This window comes from Homo sapiens, chromosome 21 (assembly GCF_000001405.40).
Source record: "Homo sapiens chromosome 21, GRCh38.p14 Primary Assembly".
Lineage (NCBI taxonomy): Eukaryota > Metazoa > Chordata > Mammalia > Primates > Hominidae > Homo > Homo sapiens.
In genome coordinates, this window is record NC_000021.9 from 37545315 (window position 1) to 37558287 (window position 12973).

The 12973-nt window shown below is 48.8% G+C and overlaps 1 long non-coding RNA gene across 1 annotated transcript in view, besides 4 other annotated features; it reads left to right on the forward strand.

Annotated features, from left to right (window-relative positions):
- KCNJ6-AS1 (KCNJ6 antisense RNA 1) overlaps nt 1-12973 on the forward strand; it is a 222067-nt gene that overhangs the window by 26679 nt on the left and 182415 nt on the right. The window lies entirely within an intron of this gene.
- Nucleotides 1232-1732: an enhancer, noted in NCBI's record as "H3K4me1 hESC enhancer chr21:38918848-38919348 (GRCh37/hg19 assembly coordinates)". NCBI's record gives its function as "activates a minimal SCP1, AML or CMV promoter by ChIP-STARR-seq in primed H9 embryonic stem cells {active_cell/tissue: H9 hESC(primed)}" and the evidence as "EXISTENCE:reporter gene assay evidence [ECO:0000049][PMID:30033119]".
- Nucleotides 1733-2233: an enhancer, noted in NCBI's record as "H3K4me1 hESC enhancer chr21:38919349-38919849 (GRCh37/hg19 assembly coordinates)". NCBI's record gives its function as "activates a minimal SCP1, AML or CMV promoter by ChIP-STARR-seq in primed H9 embryonic stem cells {active_cell/tissue: H9 hESC(primed)}" and the evidence as "EXISTENCE:reporter gene assay evidence [ECO:0000049][PMID:30033119]".
- Nucleotides 11956-12015: an enhancer, noted in NCBI's record as "active region_18454". NCBI's record gives its function as "activates an Ori minimal core promoter by ATAC-STARR-seq in GM12878 lymphoblastoid cells {active_cell/tissue: GM12878}" and the evidence as "EXISTENCE:reporter gene assay evidence [ECO:0000049][PMID:35858748]".
- Nucleotides 12226-12405: an enhancer, noted in NCBI's record as "active region_18455". NCBI's record gives its function as "activates an Ori minimal core promoter by ATAC-STARR-seq in GM12878 lymphoblastoid cells {active_cell/tissue: GM12878}" and the evidence as "EXISTENCE:reporter gene assay evidence [ECO:0000049][PMID:35858748]".

The following is a 12973-nucleotide window of genomic DNA, read 5'->3' on the forward strand; positions in this document are numbered from 1 at the left end:
CGGAGGTTGCAGTGAGCTGAGATTGCACCACTGTACTCCAGCCTGGTTGACAGAGTGAGATCGTGTCTCTAAATAAATAAATAAAGTAATAAATATGTACTAAAGTAGTCTTTTCAAATTACTTATATTTATTATAGATTTAACACAACAAATGCAAAATTAGCTAAACTTGTTTTTACTATACATGTGATACACTGTGTGTGTGTGTGAATGTGGATGCCACACAGGGTTTTGCTCTGTCACTCAGGCTGAAGTGCAGTGGCTTGATCATGGTTCACTGCATTCTTGACCTCCTGGGCACAAGTGATCCTCCCACCTCTGCCTCCCGAGTAACTGGGACTATAGGCGTGCCCCACCACACCTGGCTAATTTTTGTAATTTTAGTAGAGATAGGGTCTCGTTGTGTTGCCCAGGCTGGTCTCGAACTCCTGGGCTCAAGTGATCCTCCTGCCTCGGCCTCCCAAAGTGGTGGGATTGCAGACATGAGCCACCGTGCCCAGCCCCCATCATACACTTTCCTTTGAGGTAGGGGAGGAGTACGGGGAACCTTAGTGGCCAGGTGGGTGCTACCTTTTTGTTGTGGATGCTCCTTCTCCAGGATGGCGATGTAGGTCCACAAGGTGGATGGGGTCCTGAGTGAGGACCGCCTCAGAGAGACAGCCAGGGCTTGTGGTCGGTGACTAGACCGACCAGTGTTCAGAGAGTGAGACAGCAGCATTCCCGCATATGGCTGGGCTGGGAAAGCTGGGAGACTGTGTGCTCTGTCGTGGATATGATGAGCGGTTATGCGGGCTCTGCTTCTTGCCACCTACTTGCAGGTTGAAGGATGTGCCTATTCCACATCGCTGATGGGGCATCCGAGCTTTCCTTGGAGGTGGGCAGCTCTTTCGGGGTTGGTACCCATCAGGTGCTGTGGCCAGAACTCAGATTCGGAGTCTAAATTCATACTCACACTCTATACACCTGGATTGAGATCACAGTATTATTATTTTCACAATCGAACTGAGCAAAGATACGGCAGCCACTGAAGACTCACTGTGAGGTGCGTCTAAGGGAGAAACCATGGGCTGTTGCCGAAGATCTGGGAGAAAAAGTGTGGAAAAGGCAAAACCGCGCCTGGGAGCTCCTGCAGGAGGCGCCCCGGGACACTAGGACGCTGCCTCTCCAGCGGGGGTTTGCAGTTTTCATGGTCCTGTGTGGCGTGTCCTGCCTGGTTTGCATTTCAGAGAGAAAGAAGGAGAATGAAATAGGTTTGGTTCACAGCCAATTTCAGGCTCACCGTGTCTTCAGACATTATGAGGCTGAGGTTCCGGGGTCCGGCTGCACTTTGGATTACAAAGGAGGGGCGTTGTGGGAATGGACAGGAAGGGAGTGGGTCTCCTCCGGTGGAGTTACAGCAAAGAACGGGGGACTTTGGGGCAGGCACGTGCTTTGGTTCCAGGATGCACTATTGTTATTACCTACTATCTTTTAATATCACCTTCTAGTTCACACGATCTCATTAACCATCAGAACAGTCCAGGGAGGTAAGTCGGACCATTCCCGTTTTATAGATAGGACCCCAGATTGGTCAAGTGGCTTGTCCTCGATCACATAGCCACAAAGTGGGAGGGCTGAGGCTCAAAACAGGTGTCTGTGAGCTTCACAGGCGGTAAGGCCGTGTCTACATGGCCGGGACATGCATCCCGGGGCTGCCCCTGCCGTGCTGCCCGAGTGCACGGGGGATGAGGACCTGACAAGGCCATTGATCTTGCGGGAGCTTCCTGAACTACTCCAGCGTGAAAATCTTCCAGAAGGATTCTCCACAGGGCAATGAGGCAAGAAATTTACAGCTTAGCCTGATTAATGGGCCAGGCAGTTAAGAGTTCTTTGCCAAGCTATGAGCATAATTTATAGTCATCACGGCAGGAGGAAAGGCCACATAACTCACATCCTTAAAGGGCCCTTAGAACAAGAGACACGCCGGATCATTGAAAACGTCTCCACTCCTGGCGCCAAAAGAGATCGGCACGTTTCTGGGTATTCTGGTCAAAGAACAGGGAGTCTGGATTAATATACACGGCAGAAAAAAGCGAAGAAAAGACACACAGGTCATATATTTCTGACTGATATTCCGTTTGTTGTTTTCGGAGGGACTTGGTATTTATTTAACCACATTCTCACTTGACACGCCCCCTCCCCACACCTTGTAAATGCCTTCCTCTTTAGCCGAGTCATTTTTCATCACATAGAATTGAAATGTTGCCAGGAAGGCGGTTTATGAGATTGTAGAAATGGCACTAGAGAAAGCAGTGTGAAAAGAGGCCTAGAACGTAAAAGTAGAAGATGCAGTTTGATTCCTGGCCCTTTTGCCGTGGGCTGCCATGGGACCATATCAAGGTACAATTGCCATGGGAAAATGATTTTAGGAACTTCCCCTGATCTCTCTGGACCTGTTTCCTCCTCTGTAAAAGAAAGAGTTTGGACAAATTGTCCTCTCTGGTTTGAAAGTTGTGTGAATTCCTTGCAATCTGACAACCACAATCTTATCATTACTCAGCATCTGGAAGTAATACTTCCCTCTGAAACCCCCAGAGCATTCTTTCTATATGTTAAAAAATGATATTTATCACTTTGTATCTCAAGTTCTAGTTATTTATGAGCATTTATTTTTTTCTTATTCCTCCCCAAATGGACTATGAGTGCTTTTGGCAGGCTGTCTTTTTCATCCTTGAATTCCCCAAGCCCCAGCACAGTATCTGGCCTGTGGGTGTCACCTAATAAAACTCTGAGTGTGAAGGACAAGCAAATGAATGAGTAGAGATGGTCTCTGCTCACTCTGTCCTTAGGTGGTATGGCTTGATTTAGAGTTTTTCTTACAAAGCATACATTCTTTCTGTTTGATATAATTTATGTGTTTCAAAATGAGGAGTCAGAAATAGATTTCATTTTTGCAAGATACTATTATTTTAGGAGAATCGTATGAAAATCTTCCCCTGTGGTGTCTCTTTTCCCCACATCAGACTTTGAATCAAAGCAACATGCTTTTCAAGGATTCTGCAAGATACAGCTCCACAATTTCCATCTCGGTGGCTTTCTTCTTCCTGCTGATTATTCAAAAACAATCCACCCTCTTACTGTGGAGAGAATATGCCCACTGATGTTGGGCCTGAACAGGTGGGCTGGCTTAGGCCCATGCAATGGTAGCAAATGGCACGCAAGCAGAGGCCTTAGATGTACTAGTGTGGTTTTCCTTGCCTCTTGTGTGTCTGCCTTTTATCCTGAAAAGAACTTAGAGAAGAGACCAGAACCCAAAATGCTGCCTAGATCAGCCCAGCACAGTTGACCTGCAACACGGTGATAAAACTGTCATGAGATACTGGGTGTTGGGACTGTCTGTCATGCAGCATTATTGCAGCAAGAATTGACCAATACAGTTACCAGCAGCAGCTGGTACCAGGGTCTGCAGCAACCTCAATTCTGGCTTCCTCAGAAGACAGAGTTCTACTGAGGGTCATAAGACAGAGGGAGAGACCAAGGCAAGTTTTAGAGCAGGAGTGAAAGTTTATTAAGTTTAGAGTGGAATGAAAGGAAGGAAAGTACACTTGGAAGAGGGCCAAGCGGGCAACTTGTGAGATCATCTGCCCTGTTTAACCATTGACTGGGGGTTTTATATGCTGGCATGCTTCTGGGGTCTTGTATCTCTTCTCCCCGATTCTTCCCTTGGGGTGGGCTGTCCGCATGCACAGTGGCCTGCCAGCACTTGGGAGGGGCCGCGTGTGCAGTGTGTTTACTGGAGTTGCACGCATGCTCACTTGAGGCATTCTTCCCTTACTAGTTGGGTGTTCCTAGAAGGTCACCTACCAGTTAAACTCTGCTATTTTGCCTCTTAGTGCACATGCCTGAGCCCACTCACCAACTCCTGATCACCAGTTTCAGTTTTTTTTCTATCTACTGAAAGACTGCCTTTCCCGGCCCTGGCTGTGACCAATGGTTATTTGAGAGAGACAGTTACCAGCCGCCTGACCATCACCTAGTGGTCACCTGACATTCCTGGTGGGGGGGACCCTCTCCTGCCCCGCTCATGTCTGACTAGCTAACAACTGCAACGATACTTCTGATTTCATTTCATCTTTGCATGTGTTTACTTTCCCCACCAATTCTTTATCTCATTTTCTTTGTGCCTTTTGAGATAGAGACAGATGCACTGCTTGGCTTGGACATCTATTTTTTGTTTTGTTTTGTTGTGTTTTATTATACTTTAAGTTCTGGGATACATGTGCAGAATGTGCAGGTTTGTTACATAGGTATACACGTGCCATGGTAGTTTGCTGCACCCATCAACCCGTCATCTACATTAGGGATTTCTCCTAATGCTCTCCCTCCCCTAGCCCCCCGCCCCCCTAACAGGCCCCAGTGTGTGATGCTTCCCTTCCTGTGTCCATGTGTTCTCATTGTTCAACTCCCACTCATGAGTTAGAACATGTGGTGTTTGGTTTTTTGTTCTTGTGTTAGTTTGCTGAGAATGATGGTTTCCAGCTTCATCCATGTCCCTGCAAAGGACATGAACTCATCCTTTTTTATGGCTGCATAGTATTCCATGGTTTATTTGTGCCACATTTTCTTTATCCAGTCTATCATTGATAGGCATTTGGATTGGTTCCAAGTCTTTGCTATTGTGAACAGTGCCTTGTTTCATTGCCCAGGCTGGAGTGCGATGGCACCATCTCAGCTCACTGCAATGTCTGCCTCCCGGGTTCAAGCGATTCTCCTGCCCCAGCCTCCTGAGTATCTGGGATTAGAGACGTGTGCCACCACTCCCAGCTAATTTTTGTATTTTTGGTAGAGATGGGGTTTTGCCATGTTGGCCAGGCTGGTCTCAAACCCCTGACCTCAAGTGATCCGCCTGCCTTGGCCTCCCAAAATGCTGGGATTATAAGTGTGAGCCACCCCACCCGGCCGGACATGTATTTTTTTATAGCGACAGTTCCATCAAGCAGCTTCTGCAGACACAAGCCCGCAGCTGGAGAACTGAGTTTGGCATCTCTCATTCTCTACGGTCATGTCTGCACTTAGTTTGTTGTTCTTTATACTTTAAAATAATTTGAAACATAACCTCTGGAAATGTTACATAATTTACCAACGTCTCTTTAAAAATCGACACTTCCGTCATACATCACATTTTATGGAATCAGAAGTTCCAGATGGCTCTTCCTTGCTGAAACAATGGCTAAAATAAACCCTTTCATATAGGATTAAGAAATTTGAAAATTAAAGTAGATCTAAAGTAAAGGCATTTGTTTTTTTAAAAATGAGATGAAATTCACATAACATAAAATTAACCCTTTTAAAGAAGGGCATTAGTAGTCTTCATCTATTCTAGTAGGTAGTAAGCTACTTCTTTCATTTTAAGTTTTATGACAAACCATAATTCAGGTAGGCCAGAGTCAGAGGAGGGAGGGAAAGGGGAGAAGAAGCCCAGAGCAGCTGGAGAAAAAGCAGAGAAGGTGGGAGGACTGAGAGGGGAGAAAGCTGGGGGAGAAAGCTGGGGAAGAAAGAAGCTCCAAACGATGAGCCTGTGGCTGCCTTCTGCTCACTGCCCTGTGTGTTGGGGGGGTGGGGGCATCTAAAGCAGACCCCATGCTCTGTGTGTTCTGGGGGTGCACTAATGCTCCCCCAAAACCATTAGTTAAAGCAGGAATCGGATAGCCATATTCCCAGCTGCATATCATTTTGGAACTGGTGGAGGAAAAATGGAACTAACGACGTGGTTTTTAAGGCAGGAGGTTAAGACGTTGAAAGTCCTTGGCTTGGACAAAGTCTAAAACTTATCTCTTTGCTCAGGCTTGAGGCAGGATGGCTCCTCATCGCCCCCCTCCCACAGCACGCACACCCTCCGGAGATGGGATGGGCCACCCTTGTCCGTCCCCGCAGGCCAGTCCCCTGCTGTCTGCTGCTTGGATCTGACCCCTGCATAAATACGCAAGCATGTGTCCCTGCTGTGGTCCGGGGGTCCCTGTGGGGGGGTCCCTGAGACTCTTCCGGGAGTCATGCAAGGTCAAAACGATTTTTCATAGTAATCCTAACGCGGTATTAGCTGTTTTCACTCTCTTGCATGTAACGTGGAGATTTCCAGTGGCCCCATGACATGCGAGGGGGAAACAGATTGAAGGCAGACGCAGACCTGGGATCCAGCTGGCTCCTGTTCAGCCAGACACGAGTTTGCAAACATTTAAAACAATGCCATTCTTGCACATTTTTTTCTTTCAGAAAATATATTTACATTTCATAAAAATGTTATTCATATGAACCTGTAATGGCTTTTATATTTTAAAAATGTCTCTGTTGTAACATGGTAAAGAGTGATTGCTGTGCCCCACATTCACAAAAGCTCGCTGGAGTCTTTCCAGGACTCTTAAGACCAAGAAGCCCGAGGACTGTTCGGGAGCAGCCGGCAGTGTTTCTGCAGTTTCCTGCTACACATCCCACGTGAAGCCTTGTGCAAATAAAAAGATTGCAGGAGGGCCCCCTGGGCGGTGTGCAGGCTCTGCTCTGGGCGAAGGCCTGAGGGGCTTGCGCTGCCGCTTTGGCTCTCGGTGCCGCGCCTTCCCAGTGCTGGGCCTTGCAGGCCGCCTGCCTGGGACCACCCCCTACCCTCACAAGGCCTGGTGCCTTCAGGCTGCCAGCCCCAGCAGCACCCTGAGGCCCACCAAGTGGGCATTTGCACTGAGAGGCTGAACATACAAATGGACAATGGTGAGACAGGCTGCATAAAAATAAACTCTGACCACAACCTCTGCAGTGACCTGCTGGGTAGCCAGTCCGCGAGCTCTGCAGCTGTTGGCCCCAAATGGCCAGGACTTGGTCATCGATGGCCAGCTTCTGAAGTTTTGCCAGTGCTTCCAACTCAGGAGCACCTAGTAAAAGGCAATGACTCACTGTAACCCTTCCCAGAGGATGCCCTGCTGCGGCCAGCTTCCCTGCAGGACAGCCAACTGTGGCCTCCCCTTGGTCACTCCGCCTGTCCACACCTGACTTGGCTTTGAGTCTCTGCCACAGGCAACTGTAATGGGTAGCACTGTGTCCCCCAGAAATTCATATGTTGAAGTCCTAACTAACCCCCTGTGACACAGAATGTGACCTTACTTGGAAATAGCGTGGTTGCAGATGTAGTTAGTTAAGATGAGGTCCCATATAACTAGTGTCCTTATAAAAATGGGAAATTTGGACCCAGGGACACACACAGGGAAAACACCATAAGAGGATGAAGGCAGAGCAGGGCTGATGCTTCTATAAGTCAAGGGGGACAAAGACTGCCAGCATGCAGCAGAGCCGGGGACAGGCCGGGGGGAGATGCTTCCCAGTGCCATCAGTGGCAGCTGGCAGACCTTAATCTTGAACTTCCAGCCTCCGGCACGTTTGTGCAGGCCACCAAGTCTGCAGTACTTTGTCACGACAGCTCTGGTCAGCGGCAGTGGCTGACATCCTGGCTGCAGCAGGCTTGTCCTCATCTGGGTGGGCTTCATCTATCTCTGCAGCCCCCACACCCCTGCTGCGGGAAGTACAGGCCTTGAGGTGCAGTTCGCAGGACCCCAGGCTTTGAGTCAGTTTTGGAGAGGGCAAGGCTGATGGAAGCCTTTTTGTGGGCTGCAGGTGTTCAGTCTTAGAGACATGGCCTGAAGGATCTCCTGACATGGTCCAGGGAGGCCTCCGTGCCGTCTGCCTTCATCTCTGTGTCACCCAGACCCCCCTCGAGGCGGCCTGGGCCTGGGCTGCAAACCACTGAGCAGGTCTCAGCCTCAACCCCAGAAGCTCACAAGTGGGAGGGAGCCCTGGAAGCCCGTGGTGGTGTTTTGATTCCCGTGGTGTAAAGAGCCTGGGGTTGGCTCAGAGGTCTTTATTTGGCCTTGCGTGTGCATGGGGAACCAGCGCCTCACTCCTCCCATGGCAGGCCAAGGCCGACTGGAAAGGAGTTATTTTGAGATCAGCACAGCCTGTACAGATAACAGTAATAGTATTTCACTGCTAAAGTTGTGTGAGAAATGTTGGGTTGGGGGAGAAGAATGGAGATGAGTTTAAAAATAGAAGGCTGTAATTAGCCAAGCACGGATTTGTTCTAGAAGGCATCAATTACTACGGCAACCACACGGCCCAGATTTTCCAGGGCGGTCTCATTCCATGGGACCGGATTCTTTTCAGTAAATGTGATCGGTTCCACGTGGAAAAGTGATTTGCTGTCATGGAGGTGTCCGATGTTACACATAAATTAATTCACAAATCCAAGCCAATGCTTTGTCCTATCAGGACTCTCTTTATTTTGTTATTAAAATGCAGTCATTTTGCCTGTGGTCTTTTCCTACAGGTTAAGAACTATTCATGTAGATAAGAATTCAGGAAGGTGTGCGTTGAAAGCGGGGCCGCTGAAGGAGTGTAAGGAGGAGAGTCAGACAAACTTTTTGGTTGCAGTGCTTTCCATTTTTCATTTTGGAGACAGTGTCTGCACTCCCAGGCTGGAGTACAGTGGCGTGATCATAGCTCACTGAAGCCTCCAACTCCTGGGCTCAAGGGATCCTCCCTCTTTAGCCTCCCCAAAGACTGGGACTATAGGTATGTGCCATCACTCACAGCTAATTTTTTGATTTTTTATGGAGAAGAGGGTCTCACTGTGTTGCCCAGGCTGCTCTTGAACTTCTGAGCTGAAGAGATCTTCCCACCTTGGCCTCCCAAAGTGCTGGAATTACAGGCATGAGCCACCACTGTGTCTGGCCACTTTAAAAAAAAAACTTTTTTCTTTTTTAAATTTTAGAGACAGGATCTTGCTGTCTCCTAGGCTGAAGTACAGTAGCAGATCATAGCTCACTGCAGCCCCGAACTCCTGGCCTCAAGCGATCCTTCCACCTCTGCCAAATAGCTGGGACCACAGGTATGCACCACCGTGCCCAGCTAACTTTTTTTTTTTTTTGAGACGGAGTCTTGCTGTGTTGCCCAGGCTGGAGTGCAGTGGCGCGATCTTGGCTCACTGCAAGCTCCGCCTCCCGGGTTCACGCCTTTCTCCTGCCTCAGCCTCCTGAGTAGCTGGGATTACAGGCGCCCGCCACCACGCCTGGCTAATTTTTTGCATTTTTAGTAGAGACGGGGTTTCACCGTGTTAGCCAGGATGGTCTTGATCTCCCGATCTCATGATCCGCCTGCCTCAGCCTCCCAAAGTGCTGGGATTACAGGCATGAGACACCACGCCCGGCCCCAGCTAACTTTTTATTTTGTTTGTTATAGAGATGGGCTCTTGCTATGTTGCCCAGAATTGCTTTACATTTCTAACTGGACATACACCCAAGGGGCTGGTCACAAGTGTTTGCCACATTTGGTATAGTACATCTCACAGTATGCCACAGACGCTCCGCAGGCTACACTCACACAAGCTGTTCTGTGCATGGGTTATTATGGCTTGTGTATCCTGCGTGCCCATGAAGTGCCACACGAAGTGTGTACTGAAAGGGATGTGTGTGAATGCCTCAGAGGCCAGAGGCAGAGCTTGGAGCCAGAGAGATGGGAGCGCCTCAGGACCAGAGCTGGTGGAGTCATCCTAGCCGCGTGGGATAGGAAACCGTATTTTCTGTTTTCTGCTTTGGTTCTCAGAGAAGGCAACGGTTGTGTTGGGCCGGTAGGTGCAGGGGGAAGTATGCCAGCAGAAGTCTAGGAGTCAAGGACCCTGGAGGTGGAGGTGAACGGAGGGACACCCACTCACTGCTGGTGAGCGGGCATCTTAGCAGTAGAAACCTACATTTTGGAGACTTGGATATTGTTGCTATTTATAGTTTCAATCATGATTCCCCTTAGTTTTCTCCATCTTTTGCTTTATTACTTTTTTTTGCAAATGTCAGCTAATTTTAGTTATACTCGGGATAAGGCGATTGGAATTTTGATGGGCATGGTAGAAATCAGAGTTAAAAACAACAACAACAGCAACAACAAGCAGAACTCCAAGGGGAAGGTGAAGCTTGGAGGTTAAATGCTGAGAGCCCTGAAGATGACTGGAGCCCCTGCTCCCATTCCGCAGCATCTCCTAGCCCTCTTCCCTGCTTAACCTTTGGAGGGTCTTGCACTTTTGTTTTAAGAGGAAGCTGTTCTGTGTTCTTCACAGCTGATTACTTGCTACCAAGGAGGTGGCATCTCCAAAAACTTGCCTTCAACACTGGTTTGTGGCTGTACAACAGTCAAACAGTTTCTCAAAGTGTGCTTTGTGGCCCGTCAGCACCTGAAGCCCCCAGGGGCCTGTCAATTGCAGAATTCCAGCTTCCTCTTCAGACTGACTGCATGAGTCTAAATATCTGAGTGGCTGGACCTCCAGATCTTCATTTTCAGCACACAACTACTTAATTTTTCAGCACACCAAAGTTTAAGAGCCACTGCTGCAAAATCTCAGCAAGTTGAGCTGAACTCTGAACTCCCTCTTATCTCCACAGTCCCTAAATGGGGAGTATCATTTTCCCAGCTCCAAGGCGACATGCCTGAATTCCTTCAGCTTGAGTGGCGTGAACAATGTGGGTGCCTTTAAAAGGCTAACATGCTGCCAAAAGATAACCACAGGTGGACATGGCTCTGGATGGGACTCAAAGATGTGGGTTGTTTCCAAAGATAGCAATACCAAACCCGTGCTGATGACTCTGTGTGTCTATATGTGTGTGAAGCTGAAGAGCCTTATATAGCGAGGTGAGGCCCCAGGAAGGATTTGCGGAGTACAGTGCGTTCCGCACGCTCTTGAACGTGCGTGTTCTCAGAACTCTGATATGTGTGTCTCGGCAGCTGATCTGTAAGGAGGTCACCACGTGTCCACATCTATCTTTGCAGACTGCCCCATCCAGCTTAGTGAACAGCTGATAAATGCCTGTAGCAAGCAGAGCGAGGCAGCTGAGCCAGAACTTTTACAAATGGGAGCAAACATCTGCCGTGGTTGCTCGTGGTAGAGGGGCTGTTATTAGTGTTATTACAGTTGGGGATGGATAAACTGCGGAGCCTCAGATGGTTCTGTGGAGATGGACCAACAATGGCACCACAGGTAAGAAGAGGAAAGGCACACCCGGCAGCCACTCCCTCTTGTTCAAATGTTGTTCTCTTGGTTGTTTGTTGATTCTCCCATTGTATTAGTTCATTCTCACACTGCTATAAGGACATACCTGAGACTGGGTAATTTACAATGGAAAGAGATTTGATTGACTCACAGTTCCACAGGGCTGAGGAGGCCTCAGGAAACTTGCAATCATGGTGGAAGGAGAAGCATATGCATCCTTCTTCACATGGCAGCAGCAAGGAGAAGCACAGAGCAAAAGGGGGAGAAGCTCCTTATAAAACCATCAGATCTCATGAGAAACGCACTATCGCGAGAACAGGATGGGGGAAACTGCCCCCCATGATTCAATTATCTCCACCTGGTCCCTCCCATGACACATGGGGATTATAGGGACTACAATTCAAGGTGAGATGTGGGGACAGGCACGGTGGCTCACTCGTGTAATCCCAGCACTTTGGGAGGCTGAGGAGGGCAGATCACTTGAGGTCAGAAGTTTGAGACCAGCCTGGCCAACATGGTGAAACCCCATCTGTACTAAATCCCATTAGTATATAAATTAGTCTGGCATAAAATATAAAAATTAGTCTGGCATGGTGGCAGGCGCCTGTAGTCCCAGCTACTCGGGAGGCTGAAGCAGGAGATCACTTCAACCCAGTAGGTGGAGGTTGCAGTGAGCCGAGATCACGCCACTGCACTCCAGCCTGGGAGACAGAGCAAGACTCCCTCTCAAAAAAAAAAAAAAAAAAAAAAAAAAAAAAAAAAAAGAAAAGAAAAGAAAAGAAAAAAAAGAAGAAAGAAAGAAAAAAAGAGATTTGGGTGGGGACACAGCCAAACCATACCACCCATCAAAGCAGGGCACTCTCTTCCCTCACCTGCTTTACTTTTCCTCAAAGCACCCACCATCCCCTCTGGCATAAACGCCTGGATTTATTCCCAGTCCCCTTCCTGGAACATGAACCCTAGGGGAGGCTTCCGGGATGTTCTGCTCACACATGGGAGGAGCTCAAAGAGCCTTTGTTGATTGAATCGATGATAGACAAGCTATCTCAGAGGAAGATTTGAAGTGACTGGGAGCTCCTTCTCAACCCTCTCCCTGAGACCTGCTCACAGAGCATGAAGTCTAAATTCTGGCTCTGAATGAGTCTGAGCAACGCCTGAGTGCCCAGCAACCTCAGCTAAGCACAGCAAGTTTCGGTTTGTGGCTTCCTCCCTGTGCCGAGCAGATCCCATCCTTGGGGAGTCCCCAGCCGGTCTCCACAGTGTCCAGACACCACGGTTCTCATGAGGCTCTACCCTCCCTGACTTCCACTCATCCAAGGGCCTCCAAGTCTTCAAGGCCAGCTCAGGCCCAGCCCTCCAAGAAACAGTTTCTTCTGATGACACCAACCCATCCTGATGTTTCCTGATTCCCAGTTCCTATGGGCTCCAGGCCTATTGCAGTCCAGGGCTCTGCTACTGAAGCTCTGGGTCTCACCAAGTGGGAGGTATGACTGTTCATGGGATCAACAGACCCCAGAGTCCAAGGTCCAGGGCTCTTAGATTAGGTAGAATCTGGTAAGATAGTAAGATACTACCAGATACTGGTCAGGCGTGGTGGCTCATGCCTGTAATCCCAGCAACTCAGGAGGCCGAGGCAGGCGGATCACGAGATCAAGAGATCGAGACCATCCTGGCCAACATGGTGAAACCCTGTCTCTACTAAAAATACAAAAAATTAGCTGGGTGTGGTGGTGCATGCCCTGTCGTCCCAGCTACTTGGGAGGCTGAGACAGGAGGGTCGCTTGAACCCGGGAAGCAGAGGTTGCAGTGAGCTGAGATCGTGCCACTGCACTCCAGGCTGGTGACACAGCAAGACTCCATCTCAAAAAACCAAAAAACCAAAGATTCTACCAGATACTACCCACAGTGTACCCCATGCATAATACC